Genomic DNA, 23607 nt, shown 5'->3' on the forward strand with positions numbered 1-23607 from the left:
ATACATTGTTGTTTCAGCATGAGTCTTAAATAGTACTGACAGACACTTCAACATCCAGATTTCTTCTAGCTCAAGGAGTCAGGAAAGGCTGCAGGAAGGAGGTGACATTTAAGCTGAGCCTTGAAAGATAAATGGGACTCCAGTTAGCTTGTCAAAGAGTAATGGAGAAGGCCCCAAAAAGAAGGAACTGCAAATGGGAAGCATTGCCTGTAGAACACACAAGGTTCCACAATGATTACGATTTTTAAAGTGAAGAAGAGCAACTAGAAGTGGGTGATGGGATAATGCTGTGGAGAGCTTAACTGCCCAATGAGGACAGATCTCACCAGAGATAATGGGAACTCATGTGATTTTTGTAAGGAAAGCTGGCATGTTAAGCGATATTATTCTAGTGTGGCTGATGTGGGACTTGGAAGTTGAGAGGCTAATGGCCAAGTTCAGTGAAGGGGCACCTGTCACTGTCTGGTCCCAAAGCATCTAGGAGAAGGTACATGGATATTAAAGATGACATGCACGTTTCTCCTAATTCTCATATGAGGATCCTTGTCCCTTGTCCATCCCTAATCATTTTGGGGGAAGGTATTCCTTACCCTTATTGACTTATTATTTCATTTTTTCTAACCTCACCTTCAGAACTTTCTTTGTCTTCAGCTTAAAATACCTTTCTCTGGCCTACCCTTTGTGTAAAATAAGAGAAATTCAGGAAAATAATTCTCCCTTCCTATGAAAAATGTTTTCCCTTGACCCACACTGAGAAACTGCTCCTTCCTTATTCTGGAAAATGGACTCTGTCTTCCCAAAGTTTTCCAGCTCCCTGACTTGCTCTTTCCTTCCCCTGGAAATCTTCCCACCCCTGCTGCCTCAGCCTTAGAGGTTCAGCTGGGATGTTGCTCTCAGGAGGACCAGCTGCACCCCGCCTCCCAACTGGCCCAATTGGCCCAGGTGCCCTCCTCAGGGTTCTCCTGGGACTCTGAACACCCTTGGTTACTGCACTGATCACACAAAGCAGAAATCCCTGTGCTCTGCAGTCATCTCTCCAACTTGTCTATGAGCTGTGGGAAGCAGGGATCATGTTGAAAAGACATACAAAATATTTAGAATAAAAAGATTATTTTTCTTTCTTTCAGAGGAGAAGCCAATCTAATCAAGACAGAAAAATGAGAAACCACAAAAAAAAAAAAAAACACAAAATAAATACATTTGACTTCTTTTCTATCATGAAAGATAATTCAAACCAAAATTAAAAGGTGAAAATAAGGCCAGGTGCGGTGGCTCACGCCTGTAATCCCAGCACTTTGGGAGGCCGAGGCAGGCAGATCATGAGGTCAGGAGTTCAAGACCAGCCTGGCCAACATGGTGAAACGTGGTCTCTACTAAAAATATAAAAATCAGCCGGACATGGTGGCGTGCACCTGTAATCCGAGTTACTCAGGAGGCTGAGGCAGGAAAATTGCTTGAATCCAGGAGGCAGAAGTTGCAGTGAGCTGAGATTGTACCACTGCATTCCAGCTTGGGAGACAGAGTGAAACTCCATCTTTGGGGGTGAAAAAAAGGTAAAAATAAAATAAGGAATCATTTTTAGAACACATTTAAGAAAAAGAGGTTAATATTGTTAGTACACAAGAAGTTTCAACAAAGAAGGAAAATGACAAGATTTCAATAGAAAAAAAAATTGGCAAGGCAGTAAATCCATGTAAAGAAGTTACAAATGACCAATAAAATTGTAAAAGATCTTCAGCTTCATTAATAATTTTAAAATTGCAAATTGAAGTAAGATACTACTTCCCGATAATAAATTGACAAAAAGTAAGGTCTGTTAGAACCATGGGTAACTAGGATTTGCGTCCTCGCACAATTTTGGTAGGGGTGTGTGTGTGTGTTTGTGTGTATGTGTTTAGAGACAGGGTCTCTCTTGCTCTGTCCCTGAGGCTGAGGTGCAGTGGTGTGATCATGGCTCACCACAGCCTCAAATTCCTGAATTCCTGAGCTCAGGTGATCCTCCCACTTCAGTCTCCTGAGTAGCTAGGGATACAGGTACATGCCACCAAACTTGTTTTTTTTTTTTTTTTTTTTTTTTTTTGGTAGAGAAAAGGATCTTGCTACATTATGCAGCCAGGTATCAAACTCCTGGCCTCAAGCAATCCTCCCACTTTGGCCTCCCAAAGTGCTAGAATTACAGGAATGAGCCACCATGTCCAGCCAATTTATATAATTTTTTTAGATCCACAGACAATTTCTTATAAAATTGAAAATATAGATACACTTTGGCTTAGCAATCCTACTCTAGATAACTATCCTACAGGAGTAAGACCACAAGAATTAAAACATTTCCTGCTTTCAAATCACAGCTCTTCTACTTGGCCAAAGCTTTTATCTTCTCTGTAACTCAATTTCTCCATCTTTGAAATAGGATAACAGCAACTACCTCATAGGACTGTTTCCAGGATTAAATGATTTATTATATTTAAAGCACTTAAAAAGTGTGCAACATATAGAAAATATTATAGTCATTGTTATTCCCATTTTCCAAATTTTCTATATTGACAATATATGCTAATTATAATAAAAAAGTATTTAAAGGAAGACAACGGCTCCCAATTATTTCTAAATGGACTATAAACCATTGGCCTAATTTAATGAGATGGAGCCACTTTTCTAATGTAGCCCTGCCTTCTCAAAGTTTTTCACTTAGGCTTTCTAATTTTCTAGCCCCACCTCTATTCCCACCCCATGCTCATCTGGTAAATTTTAAGAACTGGCTCTCAAATGAAAAAAAAAAAAATTCGTTTGAAAATTTGGGGCACTGTCAATTTCTGTGGTGTAAATACTCCCTCCATGGCTGATTTGAGCTACCAACATGACATGGTGAACATGGAGCTGATGAGGAGATGCAGAGAAGTGCAGTATTCCAGACTTTCCGTACCTCAAGAACATGGATAAGACCAAAATGTGGTGAAGAAGAATAATTGGAAAGTGATTAATTTGCAGTATTTATTACTTTTGGTTTTAACATACTGACTTATTATATGTTCATATCATTCAATTTTTAAGAAAATTAAATTATAACTGGATCACAAAATTCCTAGAAATTTAACAAGTGATTCTCTTAGTAAGAACAGGCTCTGGTGCATCACTGAACTCTCTGCTTCAAGAGCTCTGCACTTGTATTCCTCAATTGCATTCTCCCTTGGACTATAGCTTTGCCTCCCTCCTGGTCTGCTCCCCCATCTTCCCTCCACTGACCCCTGGCCTATCAACCCTGCAATGTCTTCTTGCAGGATGTCAGCACCCCACTGGCCCGTTCCTTGCCCGATTCTGTTAGCAATTTTGAAGAATACTATACATTTAGCAGCTCAGTATGCGTATTTTATTAACCTTATTATTGACTATTTTGTGTATCATCCTTTCTCCCAACTCTTTCTCCCAAAGTTAGATGATATTTGTGTATTAGTCTGTTCTCACGCTGCTGATAAAGACATACCAGAGGCTGGGGGTGGTGGCTCACGCCTGTAATTCCAGCACTTTAGGAGGCTGAGGTGGGTGGATCACTTGAGGTCAGGAGTTCAAGACCAGTCTGGCCAACATGGCGAAACCCCGTCTCTACTAAATATACAAAAATTAGCCGGACGTGGTGGCAGGGACCTATAATACCACCTACTTGGGAGGCTGAGGCAGGAGACTTGCTTGAACTTGGGAGGCGGAAGTTTCAGTGAGCCAAGATCACTCCACTCCTCTCCAGCTTAGGAGACAGAATGAGACTCCATCTCAAAAATAAAAAGAAATACCCGAGACTGGGTAATTTCTGAAGAAAAGGTTTAATGGACTCACAGTTCCATATGGCTGGGGTGGCCTCACAATCACGGTGGAAGGCAAAAAGCATGTCTTACATGGCGGCAGAAAAGCGAGAATGAGAGCTAAGAGAAAGGCCATCAGATCTTGTGAGACTTACAAAGCCACAAGATCTCATGAGACATATTAACCATCACAAGAATAGTATGAGGGAAACCACCTCCATGATTCAGTTATCTCCCACATGGTCCCTCCCACAACACATGGGAATTATGGGAGCTACAATTCAAGATGAGATTTGGATGGGATCACAGCCAAACCATATCCATTGTTTTTTAAAAAGTGGTTATCCACTGAGAGAAAGGGTTGGGAGAGTGCGTATTGGTGACTCTTTTGATAGTTCACCTCCAATGTCCACTTCACTTAGGTTAGAGAACCACTATTTTATACATTATAAATCTTAGCACAATGAATGGCCGGTATGTAGTAAGCACTCAGTAATTACTTGTAAACTGAAAATTTAAGATATTTTAATAGAAAAACTAAAACTCTAATAACTAGTAGTTAGCTGAAAATGTAGATTCCTGGTCAATGTAGGTGTAATAACATAGGAAAAATTAAACTGCTTTTCCTACTCTCACATTCAACACAGACACTTCTGTGTTCAGACGTGTGGGCTTGCTTTTGCTTTCCCACATGTCAGTTCTCCAGTGGTCACCAACTGGGTGTCCTACGATTTAACTCAATTCTGACACTCCCTACCTGGAAACAGCATCAGATCCCACAGGTTAGGGGCTCAGTCCCACAAGACTTCCCTCCACTTCAGACATCAACTGAAAGTTGTAGGCTACCTACAACTGCTGTTTGATTTAGCTATAAATTCGAGGTTTCCTTAACCCCCTTCTCTGGTTTGATTGATTTGCTAGAGCAGCTCATAAAACTCAGAGAAACACTTGCTTGTACTGGTTTATTATATTTATAAGGGATATTATAAAGAATACAGATGAACAGCCAGCCAGATAAAGAGGTGCATAGGGCAAGGTATATGGGAAGGGGCACGGGGTTTCCAAGCCCTTTCCAGGTATGTCACCTTCCCAGAAGCTCCCCATGTTCAGCAATCCAGAAGCTCTCTGAAATTGCAAATTGAAATCCCACAGTTTAGGAATTTTTTTTTTTTTGGAGATGGAGTCTTATTCTGTCATCCAGCCTGGAGTACAGTGGAGTGATCTTGGGTCACTGCAACCTCTGCCTCCCAAGTTCAAGCAGTTCTCCTGCCTCAGCCTCCCGAGTAGCTGGGATTACAGGCACCTGCCACCATGCCTGGCTAATTTTTATATTTTTAGTAGAGATGGGGTTTCACCATGTTGGCCAGGCTGGTCTTGAACTCCTGACCTCGTGACCTGCCTGCCTCGGCCTCCCAAAGTGCTGGGATTACAGGTGTGAGCCATCGTGTCTGGCCCAGATTAGGGATTTTTATAGCAGCTTCATCCTGTAGGCATGGTCGATTATTAACTCAATCTTCAGCTTCTCTCCCCTTCCTGGAGGATGAGGGGTATGGTTGAAAGTTCCAAGCTTGTAATCATGGCTTGTTTTTTCTGGTGACCAGAACCCATTTGGGAGCCCTCCAAAAGTCACCTCAATAGAATGAAAGACACTCCTGTCAAACAGGAAATTCCAAGGGATAAAGAGCTCTGTAGTCAGGAATGTGAAGGTTGGGGGTGTTGTGGGGGCAACAAAGAACAAATATATATTTCTTTTTATAAATCACAACCTCATAGTAGATGTTTGGCTTCTTGTACCATGTGTCCAAGAAACAACAATATGGTTGTCGTACTTGTACTGAGGTATAATCATGAGAAAACAAGTTAGCATGTCAGTATCATTCTTATAAAAGAAATGAAATGTCTTTTATGAAGGATCTAATTCACAAGCATATTACCATTAACAGAATACAGTGGTTGATGACTATTAATGTGAAAATGACCACCATTTGGATGTTCCTGCTGTCACCTTCTTAGAGACTTTGGGGATGGGTAAACGCACACACACACAAACACACACACACACACGAGTATAAATATAAATATATATAGCCAGACCATATACTTACTTTATGTAAAACAATTTTAAACTCCAAGCATGATAGCTATGAACAAACTTCATTAAAAATAGTATTTAGAGATCAAATTGTTTTACTTCTACTTACTTTGAAATAACATCATAATTAACTTTTCTCTCACGGACCTTGAGGAAAAAAAAAAAGAAGAAGGAGAAGAAGACAAACAGCAAGAGACAGCTAATGGCCTTCATATCCCCATGTAAATTTTGGCTTATATTAAAACACTCAAGGACAAGCATCAGCAGTAAATCATATAACCTACATTTCAGAATCAAAATTGCCACCTTGCACCCTTTCTGAAATCAAAGGAGAAATTTCAGATTGTTATTTGCTCAAATCTATTTGCATTCCCTGGGCACATACCCAGGGGCAGAACTTAACCGAGAGGCATTCTCAAGCCATCCTGAAACATCCCCCCTGCAGACTGGCCACACTTGCAAACTCAAGAACTGTAGGAGTGGGTTTTTCCCTTGTAATTGGTACTTATCTTTGCCCCCAAGAAAGAAAGATATTTTTCAAGTACTCTGTATAGTAACAAAAAAAGAAAAAAAAAACTCAAATTTTTTGTTCCACTTAGCCAGCCATAAGCTTTCTGCTAATTCTCAGTCATAAATAAATAGAATTGACAAAGACATTAAAGATGGAAACAATAAAAATAGTCAGGAAGAGCAGAAAAAAAAAAGATTGCCGTGATATTCTGTCTCGTTTTGCCAAAAAGGTATTAAAGTACCAATGATATAAAAATAGGCTTGAACAATTTTTTCTAAAGGAAGGGGGTAGCTACTCCCAGACTACATAAGATGGGTGTCCTAAAGGTTTCATTGATTAGTTGATAAGTTTGCAGGTGGGTCATTAGTCAATTAGTCAGAAAGGTTTGAATTAGTTACTAGAGCTCTGCCTCCTGTGAATAAATGCGGGGAGTATTCTCTCTCCCACCCTCTGTGACAGATGATATCTGTTTTCTCCTGTGAGTTTGAATTTAAGAACCACTGAAGCTCAGCAACAGTATATTCTGGCTCAAATGAGCTGAAAATTGCATTCAATTTGAATTTCAAAAATGGAGGGGAGGAAGGGGGGAAGAAAACCTCAGCACCCATCAAGTCTCTACACTCTTCAACTACTTCCTGCTGCTTAGCTGCATTCTGCCAGGCTGGGGACCTGAAACCCAGGATGTTGCAGGGGAAAGAGCATCGCTGGATTCCTGCCCAGTCTGAGTTTAAAAATAAACTTTTTATAGTCAGGATCAAAGCAAACCTCACTTTTACACACATGCATAATGCAGAATGTGACCCACCAAAGAAATAGATTTACCTTTTCCAAACTGAAATTGGCCTGCTTTATTATTTTTTTTTTTCTTTACGTACTCTGGAGGTGATAAAGGTGAAGGTGTTTTTCTTGGGAAACTCTGGAAAAGCAAATTCTTTTCTAAATTAAAATTAATTCCTCTTCAGCTCACTTAAGACCCTCATTCCTTGTGGCTCGGTGCCCCTGCCTTCACCTGCCTCACATTACAAAGCAGACGTGTTCTTGAAAAGTTGAGCATGTAGCTATTGATTTTTCAAATCAAATCATATTTTAAATGCTCTGAGAGAGTTGGTTATTTAAAGGAATCTTGTGATAAATTATTTTTTAAAGTCAATCTATTTCTAGTGTACAAATCATTGCCCCTTCCTGCAATGGCATAGTAAGCATGAATTTGAAGCATATCCAAGTTTTCTGAAAGCAGGGCACACCTGTAGTCCGTGAGAAGTAGATGTAGGTATCACTAATATTTAAAACTAAACCGATGCTACGCAAAACAACAGATGATATCCCAGAATCATGTAACTGAATGATTTGGGGCCAGAACTCCATTTTATGATAGTTCAAGCTGAAGGAGAAGAGAGAACGCCAAATTCATTCCAATGGACTTCAAACATGAAAACATATTCTCCCGCTGACTACATTACTCTCAATTTGCAAATTAAGCAACCTGGGTGCCATGAAAAAGGTAATTCAACTTCTAAAGTGCCATTTTCCACACTGAAGCAGGAGTCTGCTGAATGCTGTTCAAAAATATGCCTTACTCCAAAGGGTTCACTAGCAAGTACCATTGAAAGGCATCATTGGCAGTGAGTGCACAGGGATTCCTGTGCACCTACTCTGCACTGGCCTCTGCAGCAGGAACTCAGAGTAACTAATACATCAGAGATCCTGCATTAGAGGAGGCAGTGGCTCTTCATCCTTCCTGAGTTACAAACCCATGTGAGGGTATGATGAATGCACAGACACTCTCCAACAAAAGAATCTTTACATGCTATGATCCTCGTATGATAGTCATTACAACTACAACAGAATTCATGGATGCAAGTGAAGGACCTGGGTCTAGGATATTAATTGACTAATGGATGGTATCCTGGGAATGTTAGTATTACATAATTTCCCTTCAAAAATGGAGTGAAGTAGACAGATATCTCTAGAAAGAAATGGGTATTCAATTGGAATCTAATGGATACCATGAACTTTTAGCAAGCTCACAGAAGGTAGAATTAGAAAGAGAAGGATCCCTATCTTAAACGCAGGACAAGACGTAAAGAAGAGTAATATTTTACTTCTTAGGCACCATCGAAAGACAAGAATTAAGAAATAGTCTGACTTTCACAACCTCAGCTTACTGGTCAGTATAGTGAATCAATAGAAACAAGGGCAAAACCTTTCCAAAGCACCTACATGATCACTACAACACATACTTGGTAAAGTCCAATCTTCCAGAATATCCTACACATAGACAAAAAAAAAAAAAAAAAAAAAAAAAAACACTTTAAAGGCATTTAAAATGATGTTTTTACATTTTAAAAGGCAGAATGCGGAAAACATTATACCTTACTATGAAATACTAGCCAACACCACAATAGTAGTCAAAGATGTCAAGAGGACACTTAACCCTCTAATGTGTATCACGTGGCATTATGTTATGTAGATTTTAAAAGAATGTTAATATCTCCTAATCTTGTAGGGAGCAGCTTACCTTTCAAACTGCGACAGTGTTAGCGTAGGATTTTTTCCTTACATCTTCATAATTTAATATTGTTTCATTGATGAACCAGTAAATTGTCAGCTCTATTCATTTATGTGACGTGAGCAAGGATCCAACCCAAAAAAGGAAAAAAAAAAAAAAAAGTAAGGTCAATTTTCTCGGCCGCTGCATTTAATAAAATCTCCCAGGCAATAGAGTTAAGCACACATTAATAGCTATGACTTAGTATGCTCTGCCTTTAGCAAGTCTTTGATTTTCCTACACATACACTCAGGGCTGTATTAACACTCCAACGAAGGTACAGTCCTCATTTCTTATTTTAAGATTTCTTCCTTCTCAGCTTTATCAGATTTATTAATCTTCTGCTCCTCTCTTATTTATAGCAAATGCTCTGGTTAGGGTTTCAAAGCATTTTCCATTATAATACCCATATATAACTTTCAGAAAAAAAAAAAATTCTTCCAAGACCAAGGGACTTTTTACTTACTTCACATTAGTCTCAAAATGTATGCATTTCTCCAAACGTGAAGGCTTTGTGTCCTATTTCTCTGATCTTCAGAAAAAAACACAAGAGAGCGAGTAGAGAGGCTCAAGCTTTCTAAGTGGAAAAACTTGAAGCTTCTATTTTAAATAAACTCCAAGTGGGTTTTCACTAAACATACACTAATGATGTTTTAGGGAGATGTCTGTCAAAGGAAGCTACTGGGTTGAACCTCATGAAGTTGCTGTTATTCTATCAATTTCAACCTACAAAAATGGCAATTCCATATGATTTAACTTAATGCTTCTCATATCTTTACTAAAATATAAAAAGACTGTTCAGAGCAACAAAGCAATCCCTTGGATATCCGGGGAAATTCTGTGCCGAACTTGCAGCTCAGGGGGTGAGAAGGGAGAAGAGAAGGTTGTGACCAACAGGAGGCTGGAATGCCCCTGACAGTTTGTTTGGTGCATGCCCTGGTGCAATTTATTAAGTAAAAGATGTGGAGAAAATAATTACTCGGGTGGCACCAGGCCACTTTGCATCACATCCCTTGAGGCATGAATGTGGTAACTGTAGACTTTGGGGAGTGAACACCTCAAAGAGATGCCTGTATTGCATTAGAAGACCCTCAGAGGGACCTCTAAATCTATTCACTAAAGACACCCTTCAGACTGATAGCTTTCCCGCTTTCTTTCAAGAATGAGGTTAAAAGTAAAATGCTTGACAAATAAACTAGATTGAGGTTTCAATCCCAAATTCCCCCTACACCCAGCAATTGGAATCATATCTTGGTAATTTACTGTAATGCTAAACAGAAGCTATTTGAATACTAGAAAACAAAGGGATCATTTTAAAATAATTTCTTGCATAAAGTGAGCTGAAGATCAACTAAGACAAGAGAACGAGGAGGTTTCTAGTGTAGGCTGGAATTTGACAGGGTCTAGAATCAAGAAAGGACTGTGCTTTACACATAAAACTAGGATGGTGTTTCAAACACACTCATGAGAGAGACAGGAGGTAAGATGACTCAAATGTGAGAATCCAACCCTATTTATTTTCTAGGATTGTGAAGATAAGAGCCTGTTAAAAAGCTGTAATTTATATAAGTATAAAGAAACACTAGGAGAGGACCCACTTAACTGACACTAGAGGGTCAGAAGCCCAAGAAGACCTAATTTAGGTTGTTGCTTTTTTAAAAAGAAAGCACAGGACTCAGGAGGTACAAAAACAGGATTTGAATCAAGAAAAATCCTTCAGGTGCTGATTTCAACAGTTATATGGCTGCTTTCTGTGTAATATTGCTAATGCTCATAGCCAGTGTGGCCGTAGATTTCAAGTTAACATTTAAACTCTACAACTTGTCATACTCCCATTTCTGAAATGGCTGAAAATTTGAAATAACGTTAATGTTAAAACAATGGTTTTGGGAACCAGTTCTCCTTTTGATCCCACACCAACAACTATCTCAAAGCAGAGGCATTCACCTCAGGAGATTCGGTTTGTGGGCGAGGGGAGACGGTGGGGCATTGGAAGGGTGTGTGGAATCAGTTCCTGTTACCCCTATGATTTCCTCTTATTACAAAATGCAGTATACATTTCCCCAGATAAATCTCGTTTTAAGTGGTGACAACTAATCCAGATGAAAGATTTCTTATTCAATACTATAGGTAATTTACTAAGAATGGGGGGAAAAAGATTGTAAACAGCCTTTAGAAGTTCAGTAACAATATGATTGAGAAGAATTTTGTGGGTAACCCAGGAAATGCACTACTATTTATCTCATTTTTTCCCTTGTCTGCAAATATTCTAAATTCCAAACAACCAGTTTTATTTTGTTTTATTTTATTTTCAATTTTAGATTCAGGGGGTGCATGTGTAGGTTTGCTACAAGAGTATATTCTGCGATGCTGAGATTTGGGCTTCTACTGATCCTGTCACCCAAACAGTGAACATAGTACCGGACAGAAAGTTTTTCAACCCTTGATCCCCTCCCTCCCTCCCCTCTTTTGGAGTCCCCAGTGTCTATTGTTCTCATCTTTGTCTGTTTCTATCCAATGTTTAGCTCTCAATTGTAAGTAAGAACATGTAATATTTGGTTTTCTGTTTCTGTGTTAATTCACTTAGGATAGTGGCCTCCAGCTGCATCCACGTTGCTGCAAAGGACATGATTTCATTCTTTTTTATGGCTGCATGGTATTCCATATTCTATAGGTACCACATTTCCTTATCCAGTCTTCAACTTATGGACACCTGGGTTGATTCCATGTCTTTGCTATTGTGAATAGTGCTGTGGTATACATATGAGGGCAGGTGTCTTTTTGGCAGAATAATTTCTTTTCCTTTGAGTATATATCCAGTAATGGGATTGCTAGGTTGAATGGTAGTTCTGTTTTTAGTTATTTGAGAAACCTCCAAACTGCTTTCCACAGAGGCTGAACTAATTTACAGTCCCACAAATAGTTATAAATGTTTCCTTTTCTCCACAACCCCACAAACATCTGTTATTTTTTCATTTTTAATAATAGCCACTCTTACTGGTGTAGGATGGTATCTCACTGAGGTTTTGACTTGTATTTCCCTGATAATTAGTGATGTTGAGCATTTTTTCATATGTTTGTTGGTCACTTGTGTGTCTTCTTTTGAGATATGTCTGTTTATGTTCTTAGCCCAATTTTTAATGGGGCCATTTGTTTTTTTCTTGTTCAGTTGTTCAAGTTCCTTGTAGTTTCTGGACATTAGTCCTTTGTAGTATGCATAGTTTACAAATATTTTCTCCCATTCTGTAGGTTGTCTCTCTTTTGATAGTTCTTTTGCTGTGGAGAAGCTCTTTAGTTTAATTAGGTCTCAGTTATCAATTTTTGTTTTTGAATAACCAGTTTTAAAATGTAGACTGACACACAACTCACAACTGTTTTGTAAGCTGATGATTGCCTATCCTATGCCCAACTAATTATTAAGATTGGGCATATAAACTTATTACAAAAAAAAATACAGGATTAAGAACCATCAAGTGCAGTTGCCTGGATTTTGCATTGCAAGATTCCCAGGGTGTACTTTTCACATGCATTACAACGTGAATGATCTGCCCTACCATGGTTGTGTAGTATGAGAGAGGAAGAGAAAGCCTCTGGATTCTCTTTCCTATCCCAGAGAATATTTTTAAAACAAATATAGATAACTAAATTACCAGTATCCCTTCACTCACAAAGTCAGTGACCCCAAGGCAAGAGGACTTACACCATCCCTACCATCACCCTCTACCATCACCAGCAGCTGCCTCTGCATTGTTGCAGGAACCTTCTTAGAAGGGGAATTGCCTCTCTAAATACAGAGCAAGAAAGATCTGTTCTTCAGGTCTCAAACAGGTTCTAAGAATAGATATTCCAATAAAAGGAGAAGCCACTTGGCACATAATATTCCTGAAACATGGTAGCATGACAGTGGAACTCAACCATTCACCCAGCTGTCCTTGGGGAAAAACACATTTTGAATTCCAAAACCTTAGGAGTATATCTTACTGTGAGGGTTTACCTGTAATCTACTTACTACACACACATACAAAAGCCTGAACAGCATATACTCTCAAAAAGTGAATGGATAGCAGAAGTAAAGATTTTTAAAAGGGGAAACACACATATTTCCTTTAGTCATTCTGAAGATAACCCTAGCGTACAGCCAGGAAAAGATAAACAGAAGAAATTCCTCAGCTTTCTAGATCCCCTACCATACGTTATTCATGGGGGTTTGATTATTTGAAGATTTTTTTTCAGGATTTCAATAAAGGCAATCAGGCAGGATTATCTTGGGCAGGCACAGGATATACAAGCAAGCTACTGGATGCTGGGGAGATGTAGGGCAAAGACAACTTCAGCTCCCCCCTGCCAGGAAACTTGCTCTATTAAGAGATAAAATGTCATGATATAATCTATGTGATGCATCTTTTGAAAAGAAAAGTGCCTCAAAGATTATGAAATAGTTTTGAGAGTGGAAAATAATCCATCAATTTAGATACAGCTTTTTCAGTGATGGGTACAATGTAAGGCTCCCTCCAGTTAAACTGAGGTCAAGCATATAATTCCAGATTTAGATCTCCCGATATTTGCCACTCTATATTTAGTCTTCACAAATTCAATAATATTGGCTACTTTCTGATGCAAACTCTGACGGAGGAAGCTTTTCTGTGAGGACAAAATATTTTTAAAATAAGAGATTTCTTCATTAAGTTGGCCAAGATCCTTGAGTCTAGCACTTTGCCAATCATTTTCCTTCCACTTTAACGCTGGAAACATGGAAAGTTAGAAAGGAAAAGGAAGGGAAATAAATAAGAGAAGAAGACATAAATGAAAAATTAAGAGAAAAGAAATATGATGGAAAGAAACAGGAAGGTTAATAAAGAAGGAGCACATGATCTCCATTCATTCAAAGTCAGAATACTATTAATGCACCCAAAATCAAATGCAGTGCAAGTTCTTCTTGGTTTATCATCCCTTTCCCTGGAGAATGAAAGAAGGCTATGTTGATGAAGATCTTGGTGGTAATGCACTCCAAAGCCTTCATTTTACCAGTAAGGAAAGGGAAGTCCTGTAAGGCAAAGTGACTTACAAAGTCATGACTAGAAGCCAGAATCACAATAGACCAGTCTAATGTTCTACCAACCATATCTGCCTGAAAGTGGTAATGGCTTTTCCAAGTCTTAGACAATTGCTAATGACACCAAGAGTGAGGTAAAATGGAGATGCTTTTCTCTCTCTGGGGGAATAACAGAGATCAACTCACAGTATTAGAACCTACAGGAACGGCTGGGCAAGGCTGCAGCTGACCCAGCTTCCAGGGTAATTTGACAGTTGGAGAATAACACACTGCAAATTTAGAGGGACAAGCTCTAAGCCCAGGTTTTTCATAATTCCAACAAACCGTCTCCAGTGGTTATTATGACATAACACTTCTGATGATTAATTAAAAGCTCTTCATTAGATCAGTCAGCTTATAATTAATAGCTCCCCCTATCTTTAATAAATAGAATGATGTGAAATAAATGAGAGCGATACCAAGGATTAGCTAAAGCCTAAACCCAAATGAAAGCACCCTCTGCTCTCAACCAAGGAGGCAAAGAAACAAAAGGGGAGGGAAAAGTGGGTTTTGTTAAACAAAGATGAGAAGAGAGAGTGCTGAGGAGGGGAATGTGGGAAGGAAGGAGGCATTTGCTCAATCAGTACCTATTTTCAGAATTTCCTTCAAGCTGGCTTGAACTGAGAGCCATCAATTATTTAAAAGATGTAACATGATGCTTCCTTTGTTGAGGCAAATCTGCAAGCAGACCCCGAGAGAAAATAAAAAATGAATTAGGCAGAATTTATTAGTGTGCTTGAAGAAAACAAAGATTTAGCTATTGGAACTGACTCTTTTAGAAATGGTTCAATTTTGTCTCCTAAAATCCACAAATCTTTCTTCCCCTCTCTATACCTATTTATTTATTATTTTCTACAGTAGATCACACAAAAAGAGGAATGAATCATTTTGCAAACTTCTCCTTTCTTTTCAGATTCAGCTTGATGTACTGTCTTCATTTAAATTACAAATACGCTAATCTGAAACACTGTTTACCAAGTAGCATTTTAAATGAAAAATACAAGAAATTGCATCATTCACATTTAAAAAATGACTTTAGACTCTGCACCTCATAAAAAAGAGCCGACAGTGTTCTCTGCCTTGGCTGCTGTATTTCAGTCCAGTGAATGAAATTCAATTAGTGGGCTTTGTACTTAGGACATTATGATTCTGATGGTTGGTCTGATCAAAACTGGTGTGCCAAGCCTCAGTTCTGTTTTTTTGGCAGACCACAGTTAAGGAAAAATTCAATAGAGATGGTTGGCAGGAGAAAAGTTAGTTTCAGAGGAGCTTACTTTTCACCATCATAAGGAAATATGGGAGGAGGAGAGCTGCTCCCTGGAACAGCTCATTATTTACTAAATGAATGAATTAACTTTTTGAGAAACCTCAGTACCTAAGTCTGTCATTACCAGTTTTAGTACTTTCCAAAAATAGCAATTGACGTAAAATAAACCAGTACTAACTAGAACCAAGAAATCAGAGATCTAATTCATCTTTAGGTTTTGATCAGCCTCAGCTTGTGTTCCAAATGAATTGTAGAGAGACCACAGTCTTCATGATGCTATCAGAACCCTCCCAAGTAAAACCAAGCAACAGGCACCTCATAGGAAATTCCAAGCCTTTACAGTGAAGACTCAGAGTAATCATCGGTTCGAGAGGTGCTATTTATCTTTAACACTTCTGAAAACAAACCCACACACAACAAAATAAACTGGGCTGCAGCATAGGCCCTCGCATGTCTTGACCAGCTATCTGGACCACTACACCATGATTCAGGAACACCACACCCACATCTGCATGGATCAAACAGAATGGAAAGAGCAAATCAAACTGATCATTACATGGGTCTGATTCTTTGGCCAGCAAAAGCTGACAAGTAATAGTGAAAATTTCCAAAGGATATACAGCCATTGGTCTACTAATAATGTCGATTAATTAGCCAATTAAGATCTGAGCATCCATTTAAATTTTAACGTTGTGTTCTCAAAACACAGACCACCCTCCCCCCATATCTTTCCTTTCTTCCTTTTTTCTTTCTTTCTTTGTTTTTTTAGGGAGTCTCCCTCTGTCACCACGGCTGGAGTGCAGTGGTATGATCTCAGATCACTGGTTTCAAGTGATTCTCCTGCCTCAGCCTCCTGAGTAGCGAGATTATAGGCACCTACCACCATGCCCAGCTAATTTTTGTATTTTTAGTAGCAACAGGGTTTCACCATGTTGGCCAGGCTGGTCTCGAACTCCTGACCTCAAGTGATCTGCCCGCCTCGGCCTCCCTAAGTGCCATTACAGGTGTGAGCCACCACACCCAGCCTGATTTCTTTGCTTCTCTCACAGGGAGTGACACCAACATCCAACTTCTTTTATAATCAGAAACAGAGAAATTATCCTTAGCATCTATTTTTTTTAATCACCATTATCCACTTCATCTCCAAGTCTTTCCCTCTTCTTGGAAAATGATTACAGGAACAATCACATGAAATTCCAAGAGAAAAATATAAATATACATATCCCAGAAGTGGCATCTGTCTTCTCGGTACACTCTTTGGAAAGTGGTTCTAGGCGCTTTACATTTTGCCTGAGCATGACCCAGGATTCAGGCCAGATGGGTACCCTTGACTCACTGTGCCCTTGGTGCTATTTTTCTCTGACTCAAAATTGTATGCCCACATCTGTGGTTGATACGAATATATCATGTTGATGGTTTTTCAGATGATAAAGAGATTCATTCTAAAGTAAATCTTTCCTTGTGTCAAATACCAAAGTCAAAATGCATGCTTACTTCCTTCCCATAAACGGGCTTCCTCAGATGTATTTTTTTCAGAATTAGTTAGTAAAATGACAAGCTACAATGGCTTATTTCTAGCTTTCTAGGGCTGGGGCTGTACGTGAGTATTTACACCAAGGAAACTGGCAAACAATACAAATCAGGTGAGGTGGTTTTATTCCCCCTGGAAGAGCCAGTTTACCAGCACATCACTGAAAAGCGTTTTTCTTTCATTGTTTCCTTCTTAGCAAATAAAAAGATCCATAGTGTCCTTCATTAACACCCATCTTTTTCTCCTCCTTTCCTTTAGCCATGGAAACTAACCAGCAGTTCCTCTTGCTCCTTGACACACAGCTAACCATATTCCAGCCACTCTTAAGCTTATATAAGGTCATGAGATGAGTTTTCCTCCATGGAAAGAGAGCAGAAGTGACAGGAGCCTCCCCATACTTGGTCCATAAAACCCTCCCCCAAACAATATCCCATATGGTCTCCTTTTTTGCAGATGATAGATACAGGAAACTGTGGATGCTGTGTATTGAGGTCAGAAAGCCACAAGATAGAAGGAGCTTGGCCTTGAAATCATCACTTGAAAGAGACTCACCCCAATCAGGAATACCCATTAGAAACTTTATGTGAAGGAAAAATTAACTTTTATTATGTTTGAACATCAAATATTTGGGAGTTTGTTTGATACTCCAACCACCACTGCTGTAACTAAACACTCTCTTTCCCCTCTTCTTTCAACAATTCCTCCCACCAGCTACTATGATAAATCTGGAGATGAGGAATGGTCAAGATTAGGAAGAAAGAAATAGGGGACCTGGCCAGGCATGGTGGCTCATGCCTGGAATCTCAGCACTTTGCGAGGCAGAGGCGGGTGGATCACTGGTGGTGCACGCCTGTAATCCCAGCTGCTCAGGAGGTGTAGGCAGGAGAATCTCTTGAACCTGGGAGGCAGAGATTGCAGTGAGCCGAGATGGCACTACTGCACTCCAGCCTGGGCAAAAGAGCAAGACTCCATCTCAAAAAAAAAAAAAAAAAAAGAAAGAAAGAAACAGGGGACCTAATATTAGCTAATATTAGGTAATAGTCATTAGCTAATGACTATTAGCTAATATTTCCAGATTATCTACTATATATAGTATTATGTACCCCCTCTCCCCCCATAAACTGGTATAAGGAATCTATTTGGGGGTATTTGGGATTGTTGTGTTCTCAAAAATTTAACAATCATAGCTCTGAGGCTTAATCACTTGTATGTGTTACAAAACCAGATGGTTCAAGTGGGTGTTTGTTTACAAGCTCTTTGCATAAGGTTTTTAGCTGTTTTTTAGACCAAAGCTGAATATTTCCACTAAGAAATAAGGCACTGAGGAATTAATGAAAAACCACTGGATTTCATAAGTCCCTGGATTTCCTGCCTTCACTCTGACACCATTTGGTGCACTTTTTCAAGGATCTACTTAGGGCCCCCAAAACAAGAACATAAGCTTAGAGCACTTTGAGTTCTAGTTTATGGGACCTCAGCATACTTTGGGAGAAGGAGGCCTCTCCCCTGGGCTCAGCATTGTTCTGGATGCTGTCAGTGAATCAACTAGGAAAGAAGAGAGCGCTCTGCCTTCCCAACACCTTCACCATGCTGAAGCTCTAGAATTTATTATGTTTCCTGTTTTAACTGGCTTCTCCCACTGGGTTGTTTTGACCAGCCACATCCATCTCCAGCTCCCTCCTTCTGGATTTAGATGAAAGGAGAGAGAAAACTTTCCTGGTGATTCCCTCATTCTTTGTTTCCTCTACATTAACCACATGGCCACTATCTGCAAACATGCAAAGGCACAGGTTTATTTACTGCAAAATAAGTGAAATAATGTTGAAGGTTTCTTAAGGGAGAATAAAAGGTTTCATCAAGTCACAAACTTTTATGGCTTTGAAAAGATAAGCATGTGTTTCTGGTTTTCTGGATGAGATCATTACCCCTCTCCTGGCACACTATCCACTTTGTACTTAACCTTCTTTCAACAGAAAGAAAGGCAGTCAATGCTTGCTTCTCTTCATTTTTAACAAGATTAATAATGTACATCATAGTTAGCACCCATGATATTAACGTCTGAGATCATAAGTGTTACCTAAACTGGTCTCTTTCCTGTCACCACCTAATCACTTTCAAAAAAATTACAATATTTGAGGTGAAAAAGGCAAGGAAAGTACATGAATATCTTGACATTTCTGTGAGCTTGTCTCTGTCATCTTCTACAACAAATGAGCAAGAAATTATAAACGAACCAAAAATGTGTTTCATCATTATCATTTGATTATTCTCTTTTACTAGTTTAGGGAGGGGAAAGAACTGACTTTTTCCAAACTTTTTTTTTTTTTTTCTGAGACAGTCTTGATCTGTCACCCAGGCTGGAGTGCAGTGGTGCCATGTCAGCTCACTGCAACCTCCACATCCCGGGCTCAGGCCATTCTCCAGCCTCAGCCTCCCAAGTAGCTGGGATTATAGGCACATGCCACCACACCCGGCTAATTTTTGTATTTTTAGTTGAGAAGGGGTTTCGCCATGTTGGCCAGGCTGGTCTTGAACTCCTGACCTCAGGTGATCAAACTGCCTAGGACTCCCAAAGTGCTGGGATTATAGGCATGAGCCACCACACCCAGCCCTTACTTCTTTTGAGTTACTTCAGCAAAATGAGGTATTATTTGACTATGTCTTCAGGATAAGGAATGTGCTTCATTTACTATTATCTAGAGAGCAACGTGGTTTCTGGCCCATAATTGGTGTTCCATAATCGTATGTTGAATGAACTACTAGAGATGACTATCTTCCAATTCTAATGAACTCAAAACTTAATATATGTCATTAGACTTTACAATGTAAAGTAGGAACACCTAGATAAATTAGGAAATTCACGATTTATGTGACTGTTTTGCCCCCTATTCTGAAGGTAACTTTTAAGAAAGAGTTTTTTCGTTGTTTATAGCTTTTAGTAAAGGAGAGTGTATCTGGTGAAATTCAAAAGACTTGAAATACTGCCTTGATTTTCAACAAAAGAAATCAAGCTTAGAAAATACTTGTCTATGGAAACAGCATCCACCATATAGTAGTGAACTCTCAATTAAAACTTGTTAAATGAATTAATATCAACCAGCTTCATATCAAAGTAAAGACCTAGGTTGAGTGCAAAAGGTTAAACAAAAACTCAATTCCTGATTTGCTGACTGTCCTATATTTTATTTGTCTATTATTATAAGCAATGATTATCTATTTGTGACATAGACCATTTTACACAATTATTGAAGATGTTCAAAAACTCTTTCAGAAATTCGTATTCTTAGTTGTATCCCTGTTCTGAAAGCACATTTCTCTTATTTTTAAAAAAATATATGGAGTATCCACCTATTGAGAGGTGTCATAATATAGAACTTGCATGAGACACTGACCGTGAAATTTAGTTTAAAATTAGTGGTCACATGAAATGAGCATGTTTAAAACCGAGATGTGATATCTTCTAATTACAATCCTCTAACAAACACTGGGAAAATCTATGATGGTCTCAGCACACACAGAACTCCTTCTCTGCAGATCAAAAGAGAGTGGAAAAGACCAGCAGTAGCCATGAAATATCACTTGTATCCACTATTTATGTTTTATATCCTGTCAACAGCAGCATGTTCATTTAGCATCAGACACAACTTATTCAGGGACTTAGATGATGCAGCAAGTGTCAATACTGATGTCACTATTTATAGCCCAATAAACTATACTTTGAACAATATTAGTAACATTAAGCTTAGGTAGCGCTCCTAGTATTAATGCCTTAATACAGACATATTGCTATAAGCATAGTTTATAGCATGGAACATAAACACAAATGCAGTGATACTAATAAATCACTTTCTTGACTGCTTAAAAATGTACTGCCAAAATGGGCTTTATGCATTACACAATGGAGCAGAAGGCAGTGATATATATTTAAATTTTCCATTTTTAAGCTGTCACTCAAAAACTTTCATACTTTTTTTAGCTTATTGATCTTACGGGCTTGTGATAAGACTTCAACTGCTTGGTTGGGCTGTTTTTAGCTTCCGCTTCTTATTAAAAGAGCTAAATCAGGAATCACAAAATGCTACTAATTTAGCACTTTCCAGTAGAAATGAAAACTAAAAACAGCACCAAAATAGTGTAACCCTCATGTTTCATTGCCCTAGAATCCCAGATTTAACTACTATATAGCATAATAATGGGTATAATGGAACTATCACTATGTGTGTGTGTGTGTGTGTGTGTGTGTGTGTGTGTGTGTGTATACAGCAAAAAATAAAAGCTTGCATTAAATATGCTTAAATAATTGTTACAGAATTCTGACTCTTGTTAAGTATTTTGCATAAGAAAACACACACACAGACATATACACATACTATATATACATATGTTTGCATATATATATATATAATATATACATAAAGGTTCTGCACTTCTATTTCCTACTCTTTCTTTAATTAACAAAGAAACACACATCCTGAATTCCTTAATGTTTTGGCCACTTCTTACCATAAATACACAACCTGCATCCAAACAATCTAAATATCATCAGTAGAACAGCTAGAGTGATGGCCACATCTGATCAATCAACTTGTGTAAACGATCTCTGCCCCACACCTTGCCAACACCCCCACTGGTCTTTGAGTGGCAAATTATATACCACAACCCGAAAACTTTCAAATGCTGATTTGGGGCTCAGAACACTGTCCTCTCAAACCTGTGACTGCTCTCACATTAGACTTTCTACAACCTCTTCAGGAAAGGGTGATTTGTTTTCTCCCCTCAGTGCTGGCCCCAAAGTTCAAGGCTTAGTGTAGAAGAGATAGTGGCCCTCATAGCTAATTGCCCATATTTTGCAAAGGGCAGCGTGGAAACGGGAAGCCACAGCCTTACAAGGACAGGATCCCTAATAAATATTCCCATGATGAATGAGTTGTGTGGTCATGGTCAGGGATCTTATTGCATTCCTGAATCTTACCCATTCAGATATGACAGAGCACTAGGTTTGTTATTATTCCCCCATGGCATCCTCCTGTGGCAACCTAACCAGTAAAGATGGTAGTAGCAACTATGAAACAGACACAAAATTTATTCTTGGCAAAAATAGCTGCTGGAATTTTTGTCACTGTCATTATATCCACCTTCTGAGAGGATCCTGAGAGTCATGCAAGATAGCAAAATTGGTTAAAAATACATGCATAACAAAGAAAAGGGTTATTTTTTCTTAGTATGTCTAGAATCATCAGTCTTCCAGAAACAGCTCCTATTGTCAATAATTTTAAACTTCTTGCAACATTTCCAACTGAGCCCCCAGATCTTTCCTGGCACTGTTTTACTGTCAGCTACTAGCACATGGACACCACCAAGAGTCATCAATTTTCTACAGAGCTCGCTGTTTCATTTTTGTACCCCTCACTTCCACGAATTCAACTGCTTCTTTGAACATTGCCTCACAATCACTCACATTGGGCCACTTCAGCATGTCTACAATCTGCATATGTATATGTATGTGGGAGTATGCACACCAAACCACAGAGGCACATTTCCATTTCTCCCCCACATAAATATGGTGATGAATTGGCTGCTTCGAGCTTTTCTGACAGCCAGTCGAAATGGTAGCTACAATGACCAGGGGATGGCCTAGTTCCTCCATGCAGAAAGGTATTCAGCACACGTAATAATTATCCATCCATCTCGTTCACACTAAAGGCATGGCAATGCAATTTTAGCCTTATAATCAAGACCATATGACAAAAACCAAGGCCATTAGGGACCAATTTCGAGTATTCTCTGCAAGACAATGATTTTCCAACTGCACTTACATATGCTGAATAGTTACCTCTGCACGACCGCACCTGCTCTCATTTATGTAACCCCCCTGTTTTCCAAAGCCTTTCTTAGTAATGCAATAGAGCAAAGTTTTAAAGGCTCACAGGCTTTTTTTCCCATCATTATTTTTTTTCATTTTCCTAAGCATACTATGAAAATACTGAGGGTAAAATCTCTGCTCATGCCAATGACCATATTTCAGAGATTTGTTGTCTTCTTTTCTGTTCCCTATCCCCGATACCTTCATCCTCCCTCTTGGCCCTGCTTGCTTTCCTTTGAACTGAGGCATGGTCTTCAGTTCAGGCCCATAATTACTTCACATGTACTTCTGACCTCACCACTTCAGGTTCAGTGACATAATAGTGTTATCTCTGAAAGGACGTGATGTCATCATAAATCACAGAGCTGTACAGGCAAAGGTTCTACTTGCAAAGAGGAAGAATGCTAAAATTATTTGGAAATTATATAAAATATAGCTCAAGTATTCTTTTGTGTCTTATTTCAAAATGCTTAAAGAAATAATATAACAGATATAATTATAACTATTAAAACAATCATATGGTTTATCATTAATGATATATCAATTTGGGGGGCAATGAAAAAAACATAAGACTAGTAAGAAGGAAAACATTAAAAAACCTATGCAAAATCAAAAATGGCCCAGACACTTTATATTACTATCATTACTTTAGATTTTCTATAGATTCCATGCTCCTTCCTATTTTTCAATTGTTAAAGAGAAGATAAATATCTCTAAAACATCACTTAATTGTCATCTTGGTTCTTTAGCTTATGAGCCAAGTTACATCATATCTCATCTCTGAACGTATTTTTTAGATTATGAGATAATGGACTTGTTAATATGAGTGCAATCAGTATTTTTTTAATTGCACTACTCCATGGATAAAAAAATGCTATAAGTAATAACTCAACATATTAAAAAAAATAA

The 23607-nt window shown here is 38.7% G+C and overlaps 1 protein-coding gene across 41 annotated transcripts in view, besides 1 other annotated feature; it reads right to left on the reverse strand.

Moving 5' to 3' along the window:
• The window catches only part of ESRRG (estrogen related receptor gamma), a 634457-nt gene that overhangs the window by 427421 nt on the left and 183429 nt on the right, over window positions 1–23607 (reverse strand). For 37 of the 41 annotated variants that reach the window (XM_017000625.2, XM_017000622.2, XM_017000637.2 and 34 more), the window contains one exon: window positions 8916–9007. The exons of 3 other annotated variants lie outside the window; for them this stretch is intronic. The gene's annotated coding sequence lies outside the window, so the exon portion shown is untranslated. Of the gene's footprint in view, window positions 1–5995; window positions 6034–8915; window positions 9008–23607 lie in introns of those variants that run through there. One more of the 41 variants, NM_001243512.1, reaches the window with a different exon arrangement.
• Window positions 6806–6975: an enhancer, noted in NCBI's record as "experimental_4410 CRE fragment used in MPRA reporter constructs". NCBI's record gives its function as "activates a minimal promoter by MPRAs in K562 erythroleukemia cells, with activity observed for both the introgressed and non-introgressed 1:217110899 variant alleles {active_cell/tissue: K562}" and the evidence as "EXISTENCE:reporter gene assay evidence [ECO:0000049][PMID:34662402]".

The sequence above is a fragment of the Homo sapiens genome, chromosome 1, assembly GCF_000001405.40.
Source record: "Homo sapiens chromosome 1, GRCh38.p14 Primary Assembly".
NCBI classification, from domain to species: domain Eukaryota; kingdom Metazoa; phylum Chordata; class Mammalia; order Primates; family Hominidae; genus Homo; species Homo sapiens.